Below are 21,902 nucleotides of genomic sequence, written 5' to 3'. Positions count from 1 at the left end.
AAAATGTAAAAAGACATTAATCCTGAGAAAGGAAGAGCAAGTGAAATAAAACCTATAATTGCCCATGGTTTCCTTCCTGAAGAGTTTCCAGACCACAACATGGAAAAAGAAACCCAGGAGAAGCCTGGGGATTACTTGAAGCTGAAGAGACAGAACTGAGAGCCCAGGAAGGCAGATAGAGTTCATAGGGCAGAACACCAGAGGAGAGAGAGCTGAGAACTCTGGAGATCAGCAGAGAGACCCCTCAAGTCTTCAGCTGAGTACTGATCAGCACGTGTGTGTGAGGAATACTTGAAACCAGGGGAAAAACAACCAAAGAAAAGCAGAGGGAAAAGAACTCATACAGGCTAGGAAATATTCATTCCCTCCCAGTAGAAAAGGCCTCCATAGTGAAGCCAAGTTAGTCCTAAACTAAGAGCTGCTCTAGTGCTTCCCAACAGAGGCTAAAATCAAGCCTCAAAATAATTAAACTGTTCCATGCAACTTAATTGCATCCCAGAATAAGGTTCAAGAACATTGATAGGAATACAAAATATCCAGTGCTCAATGGGTAAACTTCAGCATGTGTAGGACCCAGAAAAAATCACCAGGCAAGCAAAGAATCAGGAAAACACCACCAACAGTAAGGAGATCAATCAATAGGATGACTCAGAAAGGTATAAGCAATAGAATTAGTAGACAAGGACATTAAAGCATACATATATGATATATTTCTTATGTTCAAGGGGGTAAAGATTGAGTATGTCAAGAAATGAAAGACATATACAAAAAAGATCAAACTTTAAAAGATGAAATACAACATATCAAATAAAAAATATAGCAGTTAAGCTTAATAGCAGATTAGACCCTGCCAAAGAAAATATTAGTAAACTTGAAAGCATAATAATAGAAACTAAAATGAAATACTGAGAGAAAAGACTAAAAATTAACTGAAACAGAGCATCAGTGAGTTGCAGGACAACTTCAAGCAGCCTAACATACATGTAAGGGGGTGGGGCAGAGAGAAGAATTATTTAAATAATGGCTACGTGTTTTTCAAATCTGGTGAAATCTGTAAATCCATACATCAAAGAAGCTCAACAAACCCCAAACACAAAAAACATGGGCTGGGCGCAGTGGCTCACGCCTGTAATCCCAGCACATTGGGAGGCCAGGTGGGTGGATCACGAGATCAGGGGTTCGAGACCAGCCTGGCCAAGATGGTGAAACCCCATCTCCTCTAAAAATACAAAAATTAGCCAGGCACAGTGGCAGGCACCTGTAATCCCAACTGCTCAGGAGGCTGAGGCAGAAGAATTGCTTGAATTGGGGGGGGTGGAGGTTGCAGTGAGCCGAGATCACGCCACTGCACTCCAGCCTGGGCGGCAGAGTGAGACTCCGTCTCAAAAAAAAAAAAAAATGAAGAAAATTATACTTAAGGCACCACAGAATGCGTAACATAAATAGTAACCTTGGCACTTCTGACCCCTTACCTGCTATATTTTCTTCATAGCTATTACCTTTACTTAACACCATACATCATTTATTTATATAGTCATTGGATTACTGTCTCTTTTGCCCCCTAAATATGAGCTTCATGAAATAACAGCAAGAAGTTTTCTTGTTTGTTATAACATATCCAATATCTAGATATATAAAATATCCAATATCTAGATATATATCTAGATATATATTGGATATATATCCAATGCCTAGCATACAGTACATACCCAATAAATATATGCTGAATATTTATTCCGAGAAATGAGTTTTTTTGGTTGTTTTTGTTTTTGTTTTTGTTTTTGAGATGGAGTCTCGCTCTGCCACCCAGGCTGGAATGCAGTGGTGTGATCTCGGCTCACTGCAACCTCCGCCTCCCAAGTTCAAGCCATTCTCCTGCCTCAGCCTCCAAGTAGCTGGGATTACAGGCATGCGCCATCTTGCCCGGCTAATTTTTGTAGTTTTAGTAGAGACGGGGTTTCACCATGTTGGCCAGGCTAGTCTTGAACTCCTGATCTCAGGTGATCCGCCCACCTTGGCCTCCCAAAGTGCTGAGATTACAGGCGTGAGCCACCATGCCCAGGCGAGTTTAGTTATTTTTTACTCAATTACTTTATCATGCTTAAGGAGACAGTTTAATGTTAGAAATAAAAACATTATTTTAACCAGTACTAAATGCACAGACCAAATTATCTCTAATTCATTATTCATTTTAAAGCAAAATACATTGCAGACTTAACCCAATTGTCTCAGTAGGATCTTGCTTTTTACATTATACCTTGAAATTTCCAACATCCATGGTGACACTTGCTTTCCTTTTTCTTTGTCTTTACTCCCAATCTGGTCTCCTCCATATTTACATAAAAATACCATCCTGGGACACATAGAAACACATCCAGACATACCCATGTGCACACGCCCCCCATCCCCACCCCACCCCCCCCGCCGACAAACACACACTGTATAAGTCAGTTCTCACACTACTATGAAGAAATACCCAAGACTGGGTAATGTATAAAGAAAAGAGGTGTAATTGACTCACAGTTCCACATGTCTGGGGAGCCCTCAGGAAACTTACAGTCATGGCGGAAGGCACCTCTTCACAGGGTGACAGGAAAGAGAATGAGTGCCTGCAGGGGAAATGCCAGATGCTTATAAAACCAACAGATCTCATGAGACTCACTCACTATCACGAGAACAGCATGGGGCAAACCGCTCCCATGATCCAATTACCTCCACCGGGTCCCTCCCATGACACATGGGGATTATGGGACCTACAACTCAAGATGGTATTTGGGTGAGGACACAGCCAAGCCGTATTACACATACACTCTCAAATAGAAATAGGAAGACAAAGACACACAGGCCACACACACACACACACACACACACACACACACGCACGCCCAGCAAACACATACAGACCCATACAAAGACACATAAACAATAACATCTTCACAGACTTACAGATTTTAAAGAAATCTATACTAAATTGCTACACACTGTATCCCCTCTTAGAGATTCATAACTTGTTTTAAGGGATCTTGCTTTAAAAAGTTGTATTACATTATTTAACATAGCATTTTCCAAAATTATTTGAACATGGACCTTCCTCACACTACCTTTAGCATCCTGAGGAAGAGTCTTCTGCAGCACATGGGCTTGGGAAATGCTGAGTGAGATCATCTCATGAAGAGCATCGGGTTATTTGCCCAGAAGCAGCCCCATCCCTTGGGAAGATTTTTCAGAAGTCAGAACCTCAAAACCCATCTTAGATGTATTAAATTGAATCAATGCTCTACTCTATTATCTGAAATTTCAGAGGGCAATATACTCTTTTTTTTTCTTTTTTTTTTTTTTTTGAGATAGAGTTTCGCTCTGTCACCCAGGCTGCAGTGCAGTGGCATGATCTCAGCTCACGGCAACCTCTGCCTCCCAGGTTCAAGTGATTCTCCTGCCTCAGCCTCCTGAGTAGCTGGTATTACAGGCATGCACCACCACGCCCAGCTAATTTTTGTATTTTTAGTAGAGATGGGGTTCCACCATGTTGGTCAGGCTGGTCTTGAACTCCCGACCTTGTGATCCACCTGCCTCGGCCTCCCAAAGTGCTGGGATTACAGGCATGAGCCACCACGCCCAGCCTGGCAATATACTCTTATTTCCAATTTCTTAGCTAGTATCTCACTATTAACCCTGTTAACCCTGCACATGTACAACACTCTCTGGAGTTCCTTTCATGTGATGCCCAACTGTCTTGTTCTGAGATCAGGTGTCACCCTCCCCATGAAGACCTCACCAGCCTATCTAGATGGTCAATCCAATTCCCCTACTTTGTGGTGTTACTCTACCTTGTAATTTTTTTCCTATCCCTATGCCTGTTGACCTTCGTTGTAATTGTTTTCATGTTTCTCTTTTACTAAACTGTCACTTCCTTGAGAATAAATGCTCAATTTTTTATTTTATATTTCTAGTGCCTTTCAATATATTTAAAATAAGTACTCAATAATTTTATTTTTGCTGTTATTGATTTGTTTAAGTTAAAGTGAATTGAAATCTACTCATTTTATTCTACTTTGGAACAGTTCTCAGTTCTCAGCCATTCATGTACGACATCCATTACATATTGAGTCTTTTATATAATACATACCCCATTTAATATTTATTTGTCCTATAGTCATCAGGCTGTGTCAGGGATACATTGTGACTGGCTACTCAATAGTGTCAAAAATGTGTGTAGGGATATGGCCAAGAAGACAATGTTGAATAAGAAGGCCACAATAAGTAAGCATTGAGAACACTAGCATTAGTATTTGAACCAGCTCCCAAACTCCCAGCTCACTGATATGCCAATGGCTACCACCATCTCCTGACTGAGATCTGTTAGCCATGGCCAAGGAGAACTGGAGAGTTAAGATTAAGTTAAGGAGAACTGGAGAGTTAAGAGTTAAGTGTAAGTACTGAAAAAGCAACACCGAAGGTTAAAATAATAACGATAAAATAATACAATATTAATAATATCATCTATTGATTACTTACTATTGTACTGAGCTCATATTATACATATTACTTCATTAATCCTTATAATAATCTTGTGAGACAGCTATTATTAGTTTCCCCTTCTTGCAGATGAGAAAATCAAAACTTACAGAGTTTGAATGACTTGCCCAAGATCACACTGCAAATAAGTGATGGCATATCTGACTCTATAGGTTTTGCTCCCGGCCACTACTTTAAATTGCCTCTACTAATGAATCTGAGATCAAGACTGCTTCATCTGCGATATTCAGCTATTTCATTACTCAGGAGCTTGAACACCTGTTGGATAATGGCCTGCCACTGGGGCTAGCTTTACAGGTGGTCCGTGCCAGTTTTCCCCACATGCCTCAACATGATTTAAATATTCAACACCAGGCATTTTTAAAAAGAAAAGAAAAAATGCAACATACAAATAACCCAATTTAAAAATGAGTAAATGTAGCCGGGCATGGTGGCGGGCACCTGTAATCCCAGCTACTTGGAAGGCTGAGGCACGAGAATCGCTTGAACCCAGGAAGCAGAGATTGCAGTGTTGCAGTGAGCCAAGTTTGCACCAATGGACTCCAGCTTGGGGGGACAGAGCAAGACTCTGTCTCAAAAGGAAAAAAAAAAAGCCAAAGGCAGAGAGAAAAATTTAAAAAAAAATAAAGGGTTTGAATAGACATTTCTCCAAAGAAGATATGCAAATGGGCACATAAAAAGATGCTCAGTATTACTAATCATTAGGGAAATGCAAATCAAACCAATAAAATAACACCTCACACTCATTGAAATGGCTACTATTTTTAAAAAATGATAAGTATTGGCAAGGATATGAAGAAATTGGAACACTTGTGCACCACTGGTGGGAATGTAAAGCAATACAGCCACTACAGTAAACAGTATGGCAGTTTCTCAAAAACTTGGAAATAGAATTAACACATGATCCATCAATTCCACTTCTAGGTATAAACCCAAAAGAATTGAAAGCAGGGTCTCATAGAGATATGCCATTCATAGCACCATTATTCACAATAGCCAAAAGGTAGAATCAACCAAACTATCCATCAACAGATGAACAGATAAACAAAATACGATGTATATGTGCAATGGAATGTTATTCAGCATTAAAAAGGAGGGAAACTCTGACACACACCACACCATGGAGGAACCTCGAGGATATTATGCTAAGTGAAATAAGCCAGACACAAAAAGACAAATATTGTATGATTTCACTTATATAAGGTACTTAGAGTGGTCAAATTCACAGAGACAGAAAGTAGGATAGTGTTTGCCAAAGGCTGAGAAGAGAGAGAACTAATTGTTCAATAGGTACTGTCAATCTAGAACAATTATGAGGCAAGTTTCAATCATTTCAGGAGGCTTATTTGCCAAAGTTAAGGATGCACGCCTAGAAGATAGGTCTATGCCTTCTCTGAAGATGATTTGGGGGGCCACAAATTTAAAGGGGAAAGGGTGGGATATTGAGAATTACACAATTTTCATGTAAGAGGGGGCAAGAAAAAATACTCGTTCATGCCTTTGTCTATCTCAGTGAATCTGCATTTCTTACATAAGATGACACAGACAAAGGGGACAGAGGAAAAATCCAGGGAATCTGCATTTTTACCTAAGATGACATAGACAAAATGGGGCAGGGGAACAATCAGATATGCATTTGTGGCTGGTGGGCAGGGGGATGACTGTACCTGTAAAGATAAACTATCATTTTACTTTGCCATGGTGAAATTTTAACAGAAACACCTTAGGGTAAAGATCTTGGAACTCACTAGGAATTTCCTTGTGGGCAAAATATCAGGGAGGTGTGTGGCTTTTCATCTTGTAGCCATCTTATTTGGGAACCAAAAGGGGAGGCAGGTTTGCATGACCCAGTTCCCAGCTTAACTTTTCCCTTTGGCTTCATGAGTTTGGGGTCCCTAGACTTATTTCTTTTTCATAGTACAGAGTTTTTGTTTTGCAAGATAAAGAGCTCTGGTGATGGATGATGGTGATGGTTGCACAACAATATGAATGTATTTAATGTCACCGAGCTGTACACTTAAAAATGATTAAGATGGTACATTTTTGTGTTACGTGCATTTTACCGCAATTTAAGCATTTTTAATGAAGTTAAAATACAAAGCCTTAAACACTTAAAAGAAAGGAAAGGAGATGATTTTGAGTGAATGGACAAAAAGCAAAAAAGAGAAATGGCACCCCATTGCTTACTTCCCACCCCTGACGCCATGTCTTTGCTCCTCTTGTCACTTTGCACAGCTCTCCCCTCCCCTCCATGTCAAATCATGTTTTTCAAAATCCATCTCAAATATCATATCTTGATTTCTTGATTCACTCAAATAAAAATCCTTCCCACCTGTGAATTTCTTTTTTTTTTTTTTTTTTTTTTTTGAGATGGAGTCTCGCTCTGTCACCCAAGCTGGAGTGCAATGGCACGATCTCAGCTCACTGCAACCTCCACCACCTGGGTTCAAGTGATTCTCCTGTCTCAGCCTCTGGAGTAGCTGGGACTACAGATGCACGCCACCACGCCTGGCTAATTTTTGTATTTTTAGTAGAGACGGGATTTCACCATGTTGGTCAGGCTGTTCTCCAACTCCTGACCTCAAGTGATTCACCCACCTTGGCCTCCCAAAGTGCTGGGATTACAAGCGTGAGCCACCGCGCCCGGCCCCCACCTCTAAATTTCTATAGTCCTTTATCTATACCTCTCATTTATCTTCTCAGTGCATTATACTTACATGCAAGCTTTAGCTCCCCTAAAAGATGAGATATTCTTCGATTGTCTAACCCTGTGTGGTTACTTCAATATCCTGTCATACCAGTGTCCATATAAACTTTACTTCTAAGCTACTCATCCTCTTTCCTTAAAATGAATTTCATCCTGTACTTTATTCTCCTAGCTTCCGACTTTCCTGACCCTTACCACACATGTTAAATTTGACTCAGCACTGTCCCTTATTCAAGATATAATAAGTATTTACTGTGTGCCAGACATGAGCTAGACTTTGACGACATTGCCTGTGTCCCTTTACTCTCAGCCCCCAACAATAATTCATTTTCTTCCACTCACTGCACTATTTCAAACTTTCCTTAGTAAACAACCTCTCTGAATTGACTCAGCTTTGAAACTCGCCTTTTCCGCATCTAGCTACCCCTTCCCTCATAGACAAGGCTTCCATTAGGATACTTCCAGATACAAGTTACAAAAAGAAAAAAGTCTGACGAATAGAGGCTTAAGCCACAAAGATATAACTTTGTGAGCAAAAAGTCTACAGGTAAGTGGCCCCAAGCAGTTTAGAGGCTCAAAGTTGTCAGCGCTCCAGGGCAGAGTCACTGAGATTCTCTTGGCTTTTACTGCAAGGTCACAAGATGGCTGCCATAGCTCCGAGCAGTACTTCCTCCTACTAATGTACTTAGCAAAAAGGAAAGGAAGAGTCAGAAAGTACCCCCAACCCCAATGTTTTCTCTATTATCAAGGAAATAAAATGATTCTCACAGACTTTGCAGAGGCTTGCCTTGTATTCCATTGCCATAACCGGAACCAAGCCCACCCCTTCCCACCGGCAAAGAATGAGGCTAACGTGATTGCTTTAATCGGTTAGGGGTTAAGCCCTTGCACCATGGGGCAGGTCTAACTTCCTTGAGCCCACTGCTGCCCAATACCTCAAAAAAAGCAAGATTCAGTTAGCAAGAGGGAAGACAGGCCGCCTTTTTAGGTAGATGAACATTTGCATCTGCCGCAAAACCATCTGAGACTCCAGGAGCAGAAATCAGCCCACACCAGCCAGTCATATCTGACTCACTTAACTTCTATCACTTTGTCACACAGGGTGCTCAGTCCTGTTTCAAATGGATGAAAGGCTTAAAGATGGCTTGAGAAGATGGCAAAACATAAGAACAATGTTTCAGTACCCATGTGTGGGATCAGGGATGGTGTGTATGTGTGTCTAGTAAGAGGTATTAGGGTTGGATACAGTAAACATGAGTCATACTGATCTCCGAAAGACTAAATTTTTTAAACTGCACATATAAAGTTATATAATAATTATTCATAATTCTAAAAAGTCATGTATGGGATACACGGAAATATATAATATGATGATTATAGTTGGGAAAGACTTCATAGAGATAGTAAATGTTCAAAGGGAGTCTGAAGAAGAAAGGAAACAATAAGGAAATTAGTTAAAAGGGGCCCAGGAATGAGGACTGAACTAGAACAAGAAATGTCATGTAAAGGTTGTGTTTTCACCCTTTTTTTTTTTTTAATTGCATTATCTTCCACTCCTAGAAACCTCTCATCATTCTTTGCTAAACTTGTTTTATAAATAGATAGTCAATCCACACTCCTTCACTCCTCACTTCTTAGTCACTCTTCCACCCTGGGCATTTTAGCTTTTACCCTCCTCATTCTACTAGAATAGAAAAGGAAACATGCTGGGTGTGGTGGCTCACATCTGTAATCCCAGCACTTTGGAAGGCTGAGAGGGGAGGATCACTTGAGGCCAGGAGTTCAAGACCAGCTTGGGCAACGTAGCAAGACCCCATCTCTAGAAAAATAAAAAAGTAAATAAAAGAGAAAAGGAAACATCCATGGACATTACCTACTCTACAAGCCATCTCTTCTCCCCCTGCTCATCTATCTCAACACATAGAACCTCATTCCGGTGATAAGATGTACAGAAGAAACTGCCTCTGCATGATGGGAGACACTAAAAGACATTTTGAACTTTAAAATTATAGAACTTGTTATATCCACAACCATGCTATGGGTAATGTTTTTCTCTTTCATCCCTCAGTGCCAGTTTTTCTTATCAAAATCTGCCTCTTAGATTTTCACATTCCCTAAATTGATGTGCTTCGGAAAGCAGATTAGCAGGCCAGGCACAGTGGCTCATGCCTGTAATCCCAGCACTTTGGGAGGCCGAGGCAGGTGGATCACAAGGTCAGGAGTTCAAGACCAGCCTGGTCAATATGGTGAAACCCCATCTCTACTAAAAATACAAAAATTAGCTGGGCATGGTGGTGCGTGCCTATGGTCCCAGCTACTCGGAGGCTGAAGCAGGAGAATCGCTTGAACCCGGGAAGCGGAGGTTGCAGTGAGCCGAGATCACACCACTGCACTCTAGCCTCGGCAACAGAGCGAGACTCCATCTCAAAAAAAAAAAAAAAAAAGAAGCAGATTAGCTCAGAAATTCTTTATTAAAAAAATAGACAAATACAAGACACAAGTCTGAACTGAAAGAAATACAGAGTATTAGATAGTGCTCCTAGAGACTGGGCAAACCCCTGAAATTCTTGGGTGTCAGTTTTCCCAAGAAAACATTTCCCAGTTTTTTAAATGTGGAAAAATTGACACCCAAGAATCTCTAGGATTCTTGAAAGAATCCTAGAAGTTTCTCCTAGAAGGAGAAAGAGAGCTAGATCTCTGTAGGACCTTTCAGCCCCAAAGGTTTATAATTTTATGAAATGTCTGTCTCAAAAAAAATCACCAATGACTCTTTTAATTGTTACATATAGAATCCTTTAGTCACTTTTCATTTTTCTTTGCCTCTACAGTATTTGGCACTCTTAACCACATTTTCTTCCTCCCCTTGACTTAAATGAAATGTGATTTTCTTTCTTTTTTTTTTTTTTTTGAGACAGAGTTTCACGTTGTCACCCAGGCTGGAGTGCAGTGGTGTGATCTCAGCTCACTGCAACCTCTGCCTCCCGAGTTCAAGCGATTCTCCTGCCTCAGCCTCCTGAGTAGCTGGGATTATAGGCGTGCACCACCATGCCTGGCTAATTTTTGTATTTTTAGTAGAGACGGGGTTTCACCATGTTGGTCAGGCTGGTCTCGAACTCCCAACCTCAGGTGATCCGCCCACCTCAGCCTCCCAAAGTACTGGGATTACAGGCATGAGCCACCACACCCAGCCAGACAGACACTTTTCAAAAGACATACATGTCGCAAACAAGCATTTGAAAAAAAGCTCAACATCACTGATCATTAGAAAAATGCAAATCAAAACCACAATGAGATACCATCTCACACAAGTCAGAATGGCTATTAATAAAAAGTCAAAAAAATAACAGATGCTAGTGAGGTTGCAGAGAAAAAGGAACACTTAAACACTGTTAGTGGGAGTGTAAATTAGTTCAACCATCGTGGAAAACAGTGTGGTGATTTCTCAAAGATCTAGAGGCAGAAATACCATTTGACCCAGCAATCCCATTACTAGGTATATACCCAAAGGAATATAAATCTTTCTATTACGAAGATATATGCGTGAATATGTTCATTGCAGCACTATTCACAACAGCAAAAACATGGAATCAACCCAAATGCCCATCAACGAAAGACCGGATAAAGAAATGTTGTACATATACACAGTGGAACACTATACAGCCATAAAAAGGAATGAAATCATGTCTTTTGCAGGGACATGAATGGAGCTGGAAGCCATTATCCTCAGCAAACCACTGCAGGGATAGAAAACCAAACACCTCATGCTCTCACATATAAGTGGGAGCTGAACAATGAGAACACGTGGACACATAGCAGGGAACAACACGTAGTGGGGCCTGTTGGTGAGGGCAGAGGGAAAGCATCAGGAAGAATAGCTAATGAATGCTGGGCTTAATACCTAGGTGATGGGATGCTCTGTGCAGCCACCACCATGGCACACATTAACCTGTGTAACAAATCCGCATATCCTGCACATTTATCCCTGAACTTAAAATAAAAGTTGAAGAAAAAAACATTGTTAATGAGGCAGATGACTCTGGAGGAAACATTTTGCAAAACCATCCAACAGAATGCCTCCTCATCCCTAGAGGACCCGGTTCCTGGTCCCTCAACTGCTTCTTATGTTTCTTTCTCACCTGAAAAAAATAAAATACAGTGGACAGTAACCTTTTAATCAAAACGCAGCATGGTAGTTAGAGACATTAGGCCCTAACGGAGGGTGGAGGTTGGGAGGAGGTAGATAAATCTGGAAAAACAACTAATGGGTACTAGGCTTAATACCTGGGTGACAAAATAATCTGTACAACAAACCTGCGCGTGTACCCTTGAGCTTAAAATAAAAATTTTTTAAAATTGTTCAAAGTTGGCCAGGCACAGTGGCTCACGCCTGTAATCCCAGCACTTTGGGAGGCCAAGGCGGGTGGATCATGAGGTCAGGAGATCGAGACCATCCTGGCTAACACAGTGAAATCCTGTCTCTACTAAACACACAAAAAAAATTAGCTGGGCGTGGTGGTGGGCGCCTGTAGTCCCAGCTACTTGGGAGGCTCAGGTAGGAGAATCCCAGGAGGTGGAGGTTGCAGTGAGCAGAGATTGTGCCACTGCACTCCAGCCTGGGTGACAGAGCGAGACTCCGTCTCAAAAAAAAAAAATTGTTCAAAGTTATGATTTTAAGATTAAAATTGAAGTGTCAGTAGTATGTGAGAAAGGTTAAAGGTGAAATAAAACTATGTGTTGGCCCTGACCAATTAGGAAGTCGTTGCTACTGCCCAATCAAGAGAACAAAACTTGGGAACTTGTTGTAGAAGGCAAGAGAGGGAGAAAAGAAATGAACCATTGCATCAAGATTTTGAGCCTGAGTTTTCCTAAGAAACTGAGGGAAGCATGAGTCATAGACAATTTTAGCAAAGTCAAGAGAAGGACCAAATGTTGATGGACACAGAACGAGTTTGGGCTTAACCCAGTGTGATGGTTTATATTGACTGCCAACTTGATTGGACTGAAGGATGCAAAGTATTGTTCCTGTGACGGTGTTGCCAAAGGAAATTAACATTTGAGTCAGTAAACTAGGAGGGCAGACCCACACTCAACCGGGGTGGGCACTGTCTAATCAGCAGCCAGTGCAGCTAGGATAAAAGCAGGCAGAGGAACTTGGAAGGACTGGACTGGCTGAGTCTCTCTTGCTGGATGCTTCCTGCCCTCGAACATTGGACTCCACGTTCTTCAGGTTTTGGACTCTTGGACTTACACCAGTGGTTTGCCAGGGGCTCTTGAGCCTTCAGCCACAAACTAAAGGCTGTACTATTGGCTTCCCTATTTTTAAGGTTTTTGGGACTCCAGCTGGCTTCCTTATCCCTCAGCTTGCAGATGGCCTGTTGCGGGACTTCACCTTGTGATGGTATGAGTCAATACTCCTTAACAAACTCCCTTTCATATATACATCTATCCTATTAGTCCCTCTAGAGAACCCTGACTAATACGCCTAGCTGTTAAGACTTGAAACTTCACCATCATCTTTGTTTCCTCCCCTCAACAAATAACCAGTATGCATTCAACTAACTTTTTTTTTTGAGCCAGAGTCTCACTCTGTTGCCCAGGCTGGAGTGCAATGGCATGATCTCGGCTCACTGCAACCTCCACCTGCTGGGTTGAAGAGATCTCCTGTCTCAGACTCCTGAGTAGCTGGAATTACCGGCACGTGCCACCACGCCCAGCTAATTTTTGTATTTTTAGTAGAGATGGGGTTTCACCATGTTGGTCAGACTGGTCTCAAACTCCTGACCTCAGGTGATCCGCCTGCTTCAGCCTCCCAAAGTGCTGGAATTACAGGCGTGAGCCACCACACCCAGCCTCAACTAACTATTTTTTGAGCATTCATTCTTTCTAAATTAAAACAATAAAAGACAGCAGTAGTTCACAGAAGCCACACTTCGCAATTTCTACCCTCCTTTCCATTTTATCAGCCATGGCATTTCCCAGTCTCCCTACCTTCGGCCTCATCCTCCAGCAGTATGTCTTACACACCACTGCCAGTTACGTCTTCCCAAAGCACAGGCCTGATGGTGTCTTTTGTTTTCTTGACAACTTCCGTTTATTGCTGAAGAAAATATCAAGCCGTCCACAATGTGCTCCCAGTCTACCCTTGCTGCTTTCTCTCATGTTTAGTGGGTGCTTAAGAAACACTCGTGGGTCATGGGGGTAGAGGGGGTAGGAGTACAATGGCTTGGCAAAAGGACAGTCATTACTGGCTATGATATAAATTTTTATGCTCCAGTCTATAATCCAAGAATATGTCATTTTGTTCAATCCACTTTAGCATCTAATTGGGTAAAAGTGAAAACTCAGTCCTCTTATTTGGGGCTTTTAAACAATGTCTTAGGGATTTATAAAGTTCCCAGAGTTTCAGAGTTAGGAACACTCAGTTTAAGGCAAAGCCAGGTATTCTTTCCTCATTTTGGAACTGTTTCTTACTCAGAAGCTAAAGAAAAATATTCATTAATCCCTACCAGTTTTTCACATACTAATGTGAAATGCAGAGGCATTTTAGATTGATGCCTCATCACTTAGTCATTCATAAATGTTAGAACATTCAGCTCAAAAATAGATAAAGTTCTCGCCCTGTTTATTATTTCTGATCATTCCATTGTCTACAGCAGCAAGTCCACGGCCCACCAGATCAGCTGACTGCTGTTTTTAGTGTCTATACAAATTTTTCTCTTCACAGTTTTCTAAAATGTATCTGCCAACCAATGGTGACATAAAATTAGTAAGCATTAAGGAAATAAACTGAGGACTAGTTATTTCCCCCATATAGAAGGTGGTAAAAGCTACGATTTAAAATGAAGGGCCACGCGCAGTGGCTCATGCCTGTAATCCCAGAACTTTGGAAGGCCCAGGCAGGTGGATCACCTGAAGTCAGGAGTTTGAGACCAGCCTGGCCAACATGGTAAAACCCTGTTTTTACAAAAATATTTTTAAAAATTAGCCGGGTGTGGTGGCACATGCTTGTAATCCCAGCTACTTGGGAGGCTGAGGCAGGAGCATCACTTGAACCCGGGAGGCGGTGGTTGCAGTGAGTCGAGATTGCACCACTGCACTCCAGCTTGGGCGTCAAGAATGAAACTCTGTCTCAAAAATAAAATAAAATAAAACATTTCATTTTATGTTCAGATTGTAGAAGCATAGGACAGATATAATGAATAAAAGGTAAGTAAAATGACATTTGAGAAACACGAGGAGGAAAAGCAACCAACATTTCTCGGGCATTGAGGAATATGTCCTGTAGTTCCCACACTAGCCTGTGATTAGTGGCTAATCTAGCTGCATTGTCTTCAGCAGAGTGTCCTTAACCAAATCTGTTGGTTCCACCTACACAATGATGGTCCCTGGAACCAACGGTAATCCCATTTCCTCTGTGCGCTTTTCTTTATAATTGATTGTTCTTCCTCTGCATAACTACATATACTTCTCTTGTCTACATGTCCGTTAATAGCCTAACTTCCTCTTCTCTTTTGTTTGTAATTTGGGTGTGTCCATGTTACTTAGCAAATGTATTTCTTAAAAGTTTGTATATCAAATATTTATGAACTTAGTCATAGTATAAATGTACTGGTGAAATTGCCGTTTAAAGACATCTTTGATGAATGCTATTATAAGGTAAAAATCCTGAAAGTAGGCCTGGCACGGTGGTTCACGCCTATAATCCTAGCACTTTAGGAGGCCGAGGCAGGTGGATCACCTGAAGTCAGGAGTTCAAGACCAGCCTGGGCAACATGGTGAACCCCGTCTCTACAAAAAAAACAAAAATTAGCTGGGCGTGGTGGCAGGCACCTGTAATCCCAGTTACTCAGGAGGCCGAGGCAGGAGAATCATTTGAACCCGGGAGGCGGAGTTTGCTGTGAGCCAAGATCACATCATTACACTCCAGCCTGGGCTGGAGTCATGAAGGAAGAGGCCCCATGAATGAGATTAGTGCCCTCATAAAAGAGACTCCAGGCCAGGCATGGTGGCTCACACCTGTAATCCTAGCACTTTGGGAGGCTAAGGCAGGAGGACTGCTTGAGATCAGAAGTTCCAGACCAACCCGGCCAACATAGTGAGACCCCATCTCTATTTTTTCAAAAATAATTAAAAACCAAAAAATTACAATTAACAGAAAGGAGACAACAGATAACTCATGGCCCTATCTGCCCTGTCTGTGAGGAAGCAGGCCCTCACCAGACACCAGTCCTTTGATTTTGGACTTCCCAGCTCCAGAACTGCGAGAAATAAATTGCTTTTCCTTATAAGCCACCCAGTCTATAGTAATTTGTTATAGCAGCCCAAACTAAGACACGAACTTTCCAAACCTACTTTTACTTTTTTTTTTCCTAAGCAAGACATCTTAAGCATTGTTATTCTTTGGATACCTAAGTTTTAGCTCACCGCAGATGGTTATGAAGGGAGTCTCGACCTTCATCACAGACTCATTGAGTTTTCTTGGCATCAGTCTGCAGCATTCTTACTTTTAAGTTCACAGTACTCTCTTTTTATGAGTCATATAACTTTAAATGCACTGACAGTTTCATCATCATTATCATAGTTTTAGCATGTAGAGTTTAGTTTAGGCTCTCTTTGAATTCACTGAAACCACCTGGTCCTAGAAACAACTAAACAAAGGTGTTTATATTGGAAGCACTCAAAAAGATCAAATGTCAGGGTCAAATCCTGTTTGTTGTTTTCTTCATTCTTTTAGCATTTCTGGTGAATGAGGTATGCAAGAACTGAAGAATACATGCTCTAACTGATGGGAAAGAGAAAGAAGGCAAACGACATCTTATTTCAGTCATTTAAAAATCACAAAGTTTCAAATGAAAAGGAGAATCCCCTAAAACCACCACTTGGTGTCACTGCTGTAGCTCAGCCCCCACTTCAGAGGAGAAAAGAAGCCGGTGCCCTCCTAAATCAGTCGCAGGAAAAGAAAAACAAGGGGAATAATGTTATATATTTTCATGGATTTTTTAAAAGGTAATCTTTTATTTTATTTTCTTTTATTTTATTTATTTATTTTATTTTGACTGAGTCTTGCTCTATCACCCAGGCTGGAGTGCAGGGGCGCAATCTCAGCTCACTGCAACCTCTGCCTCCTGGGTCCTGCCTCAGCCTCCTGAGCAGCTGGGATTACAGGCAACCGCCACCACGCCCGGCTGATTTTTGTATTTTTAGTGGAGACAGGGTTTTGCCATGTTGGTCAGGCTGGTCTAGAACTCCTGACCTCAGGTGATCCTCCGGCCTCGGCCTCCCAAAATGCTGGGATTACAGGCATGAGCCACCACACCCGGCTTCAATTTTAAATTGGGTTATTCCATCATGTTTCTTTTTCTTGCTCTGTAGAGAGAGGAGAATTACAAGAAGGGGCTGAACAGATACTACTGGACACAGGCAAACATTTAGGGCCCATTTCTGCCATTCTCAAATGTAGATTTGCATCAAAATTCATCTAAGGATCTTTTTAAACACACAGATCACTGGATTCCACCCTGGAACTAAGAATCAGAGTCACTGGGGTGGGGTACAGGCATTTATATTTTTATAAGTTTCTCAAAGTGATTCTGAATATTAGTGAGGTTGAGAAATCTCTGTTCTACTTTGCCCTACATCTCTCTTAATTTATAATATTAGAGAATGAAAGCTGACCTCTCTGATTCTATAAAACCCAACAATTTTATATTTTCACATCCTCACATGTCACTCAAAATGAAGTTTTGGATGTACACTATCCTTCACTCATCCCTTCTTTCTTTCACCTTCTTTTCTTCATGTCACCTCTTTATTTTTCTCTTCCTTAATTATTATATAGTGTATACTCGCTTCATAACAATAATTATATATTATGCTTTACTTACATGTCTATTTTCTAACTGAAGGAAAACTGAGCTGGCCTCACATCCCTTTGTTATTTGATTCTCTCTTCTATGATGAGCACTATCTTAGTTGCTCATCAGCAGCATTATTCCTCATTAAAAAACAAAAAACATCCTTTGTTGGCCAATTATATGCCTGATTCTATATAAAACATTTCACATACACATATTTTTTCACAAAACTCTATGTGGATAGTACCATTAACACACCTTTACAGATGAAGAAATTTAAGCCAAAATAATGCCACTCCACCCTTAATTAACTCAGTCTTAAAGTCTGAAATACTAATGCAAATACCTTGTCTGGTTTTCACTCTCTCCTCTAGATGCTGCTTTGTCTCACTAGAACTATCACCTTGCTGCTGACCAATTAATTGTCCAGTGTGCAGACTTCAAGGAAAATTAGACTAAAAGTTAAATATAAAAAGCTCTATATAATGGCCGGGTGCAGTGGGTCACACCTGTAATCCCAGCATTTTAGGAGGCCGAGTGGGTGATCACTTGAGGTCAGGAGTTCAAGACCAGCCTGGCCAACATGGTGAAACCCCATCTCTACCAAAAAATACAAAAATTTGCTGGGCATGGTGGTGTGCACCTGTAGTCCCAGCTACTTGGGAGCCTGAGGCACAAGAATTGCTTGAACCCTAGAAGCCGAAGTTGCAGTGAGCTGAGATCATGCCACGCCACTACTCCAGTCTGGGCAATAGAGTGATACCCTGTTTCCAAAAAAAAAAAAAAAAAAAAAAAAAAAAGCTCTATGTAATGACATAAGATGCAATCTTCTTGATGAGTAGTATTGTTTTTGGTTGCTAGGGAAGAAAAGCCAGGGGCAAACCACAGAACTGTAAGCCAACTGCCCTTTAATAATCCAATAAACTTAAGATATTTCACAATATTTTGCTGGGAGTGAGGGACAGAACAACCTGTACATTGGACAAAGAACCCAATAAGTGACCCCCACCTTTGGATAATAAATTGAAGGTGTTGAAGTTGATGTATTTTTGTTTGATAAATCTTGTAGTCTTTCAATAACAGTACATTTTAGCTCTTCTGTAGGAAATGTCAACAATCTCAAATTTCTTGCCTGCTTTCAGACTTCAAAGGAGATGGGTGACTAAAAACAGACTCACCCAACCAATCATTTATGTAAGAAATACTGATTTGATTTTAGCACACTGCCTAATTCTGCCTTCTTCCTGACACAACAACTGGGAAGAATATCAAAGCAAAAATTGCATTGCTAAGTCTGATAATAGCCAAAATAATGATTATACTAGCACCAGATACTCGAAACACTGCCAACAGAAAGAAAACAGATATTGTTCATTTTGCTTACTTGAGTAAAACCGAAAAAGAAATTCTGAATCCCTGCCGAGTGCTAGGGCCTATATCTGGTGATCATCCAGCTGTGATTTTTTTTTAATTGAGGTGACATTTATATAACATAAAATTAACAGTCTTAATTCAATGGCATAATTACACTCACAGTGTTGTACAACCACCACATCTAACTAGTTCCTAACTGTTTTTTATCACCCCAAAAGGAAACCCTATACCCATTGAACAGTCACTCCCCATTCCCTTCCCCTCCAGCCCCTGGCAACCACCAATCTGCTTTCTGTCTCTATGGGTTTACCTATTCCAGATGTTTCATATAAATGGAATCATACAATATATGACTGTATTAGTCCATTTTCACACTACTGATAAAGACATACCCGAGACTGGGAAGAAAAAGAGGTTTCACTGGACAGTTCCACATGGCTGGGGAGGCCTCACAATCATGGCTGGAGGTGAAAGGCACTTCTTACATGGAGGCAGCAAGAGAAAATGAGGAAGATATAAAAACAGAAACCCCTGATAAAACCATCAGGTCTCGTGAGACTTATTCTTACTACCACAAGAACAATATGAGGGAAACCACCCCCAGGATTCAATTATCTCCCACCAGGTCCCTCCCACAACACGTGGGAATTATGGGAGTACAATTCAAGATGAGATTTGGGTGGGGACACAGAGCCAAATCATATCATTCCACCCCGGCCCCTCCAAATCTCATGTCCTCACATTTCAAAACCAATCATGCCTTCCCAACAGTCCCCCAAAGCCTTAACTCATTTCAGCATTAACCCAAATGTCCACAGTCCAAAGTCTCACCTAAGACAAGCCAAGTTCCTTCCCCCTGTGAGTCTGTAAAATCAAAAGCAAGCTAGTTACTTCCTAGATACAGTAGGGGTACAGATATTGGGTAAATACAGCTGTTCCAAATGGGAGAAATTGGCCAAAACAAAGTGGTTGCAGGGCCCATGCAAGTCCAAAATCCAGTGGGGCAGTCAAATTTTAAAGCTCCAAAATGATCTCCTTTGACTCCAAGTCTCACATCCAGGTCACACTGATGAAAGAGGTGGGTTCCCGTGGTCTTGGGCAGCTCCGCCTCTATGGCTTTGCAGGGTACAGCCTCCCAGCTAATTTCAAGGGCTAACATTGAGTGTCTGTGGCTTTTCCAGGTGAATGGTGCGAGCTGTCAGTGTATCTACCATTCTGAGGTCTGGAGGATGGTGGCCCTCTTCTCATAGCTCCACTAAGTGGTACCTCAGTAGGGACTCTCTGTGGGGGCTCTGACCCCACATTTCCCTTCTGCGCTGCCATAGCAGAGGTTCTCCATGAGTGCCCTGCCCCTGCAGCAAACTTTTGCCTGAGCATCCAGGCATTTCCATACATCTTCTGAAATCTAGGCAGAGGTTCCCAAACCCCAATTCTTGACTTCTGTGCACTCACAGACTCAACATCATGTGGAAGCTGCCAAGGCTTGGGGCTTGCACCCTCTAAAGCCACAGCCCAAGCTCTACGTTGGTCCCTTTCAGCCATGGCTGGAGCAGCTTGGACAAAGGGCACCAAGTCCTTAGGCTGCAAACAGCCTAAGTTTCATGGGCCCAGCCCATGAAACCATTTTCTCCTAGGCCTCCAGGCCTGTGATGGGAGGAGCTGCCGTGAAGACCTCTGACATGCCCTGGAGACATTTTCTCCATTGCCTTGGTGATTAACATTCAGCATCTCGTTGCTTATGCAAATTTCTGCAGGTGGCTTGAATTTCTCCTCAGAAAATGGGTTTTTCTTTTCTATCACATTGTCAGGCTGCAAATTTTTTGAACTTTTATGCTCCACTTCCGTTATAAAACTGAATGTCTTTAACAGCACCCAAGTCACCTCTTGAATGCGTTGCTGCTTAGAAATTTCTTCCACCAGATACCCTAAATCATCTCTCTCAAGTTCAAAGTTCCACAAATCCCTAGGGCAGGGGCAAAATGCCACCAGTCTCTTTGCTAAAACATATAAGAGTCACCTTTGCTCCAGTTCCCAACAAGTTCCTCATCTCCTTCAGGGACCACCTCAGCCTGGACCTTATTGTCCATATCGCTATCAGACTTTTGGTGAAAGCCATTCAACAAGTCTCTGGGAAAGTCTCTGGGAAGTTCCAAACTTTCCCACATTTTCCTATCTTCTTCTGAGCCCTCCAAACTGTTCCAACCTCTGCCTGTGACCCAGTTTCAAAGTCACTTGCATAATTTCGGGTATATTTTCAGCAATGCCCCACTCTACTGGTATCAATTTACCATATTAGTACATTTTCACGCTGCTAATAAAGATATATCCAAGACTGGGAAGAGAAAGAGAAGAGGTTTAATTGGACTTACAATTCCACATGGCTGGAGAGGCCTCAGAATCATGGCAGGAGGCAAAAGGCACTTCTCACATCATGGCAACAAGAGAAAATAAGGAAGATGCAAAAGCAGAAACCCCTGATAAAACCATCAGATCTCATGAGACTTATTCACTACCACAAGAACAGTATGGGGGAAACCATCCCTATGATTCAAATTATCTCCCACCGATTCCCTCCCATAACACGTGGGAATTATGGGAGTACAATTCAAGATGAGATTTGGCTGGGGACACAGCCAAACCATATCTCCTAACTTCTGTGTCTGGTTCATCTACTTAGCACAATGTTTTCAAGGTTCATCCATGTTATAGCATATATCAGTACTTCATTTCTTTTTATGGCTGAATAATATTCTAATGTATGTATATATCACAATTTGTTTATCCATTCATCTGTTGATAGATATTTGGGTCTCCACCTTTTGGCTATTGTAAATAGTGTTGCTGTGACATGTGAGGGCCGGGCGTGGTGGCTTATACCTATAATCCCAACACTTTGGGAGGCCAAGGTGGGTGGATCACTTGAGCTCAGGAGTTTGAGACCAGCCTGGGTAACATGGCAAAACCCCATCTATACAAAAAATACAAAAAAATTAGCCAGGCTTGGTAGCACACACCTGTGATCCCAGTTACCCAAGAGGCTGAGGTGAGAGAGTCACCTGAGCCTGACAGGTCAAGGCTGCAGTGAGCCATGATCATGCCACTGCACTCCAGCATGGGCAACAGAGTGAGACCCTGTCTCAAAAAAAAAAAAAAAAAAGACGTGCTTATGTATTTGTTTGACTATCATTTTTCAGTTCTTTTCGGCATATACCTGCTATAGTCTGAATGTTTGCATCCCCTCAAAATTCATAGGTTGAAACCTAATCCTCAATGCAATAGTATAAGAGGTAGTTGGAAAAGGGAGAAGTAGCTTTATAGCCTTTTCAGATAATGTGGGCATTTGCTTTAATGTTACATGAAAACTCAACAGATAGAAGAATCTTAAAGGCTGGTTGTGGCAGGGCACAGTGGCTCACACATGTAATCCCAGT

The 21,902-nt window shown here is 41.6% G+C and overlaps 2 annotated features.

Moving 5' to 3' along the window:
- Positions 7,517-8,716: an enhancer, noted in NCBI's record as "CDK7 strongly-dependent group 2 enhancer chr12:33079663-33080862 (GRCh37/hg19 assembly coordinates)". NCBI's record gives its function as "activates an origin of replication core promoter dependent on BRD2, BRD4, P300/CBP, MED14 and CDK7 cofactors, with strong dependence on CDK7, by STARR-seq in HCT116 cells {active_cell/tissue: HCT116}" and the evidence as "EXISTENCE:reporter gene assay evidence [ECO:0000049][PMID:35650434]".
- Positions 8,243-8,443: a silencer, noted in NCBI's record as "peak1671 fragment used in MPRA reporter construct". NCBI's record gives its function as "represses an SCP1 promoter by STARR-seq MPRAs in K562 erythroleukemia cells {active_cell/tissue: K562}" and the evidence as "EXISTENCE:reporter gene assay evidence [ECO:0000049][PMID:32103011]".

This window comes from Homo sapiens, chromosome 12 (genome assembly GCF_000001405.40).
Source record: "Homo sapiens chromosome 12, GRCh38.p14 Primary Assembly".
Lineage (NCBI taxonomy): Eukaryota > Metazoa > Chordata > Mammalia > Primates > Hominidae > Homo > Homo sapiens.
The sequence above is the reverse complement of the archived record's forward strand: the minus strand, read 5'-3'. Positions and strand labels throughout refer to the sequence as shown.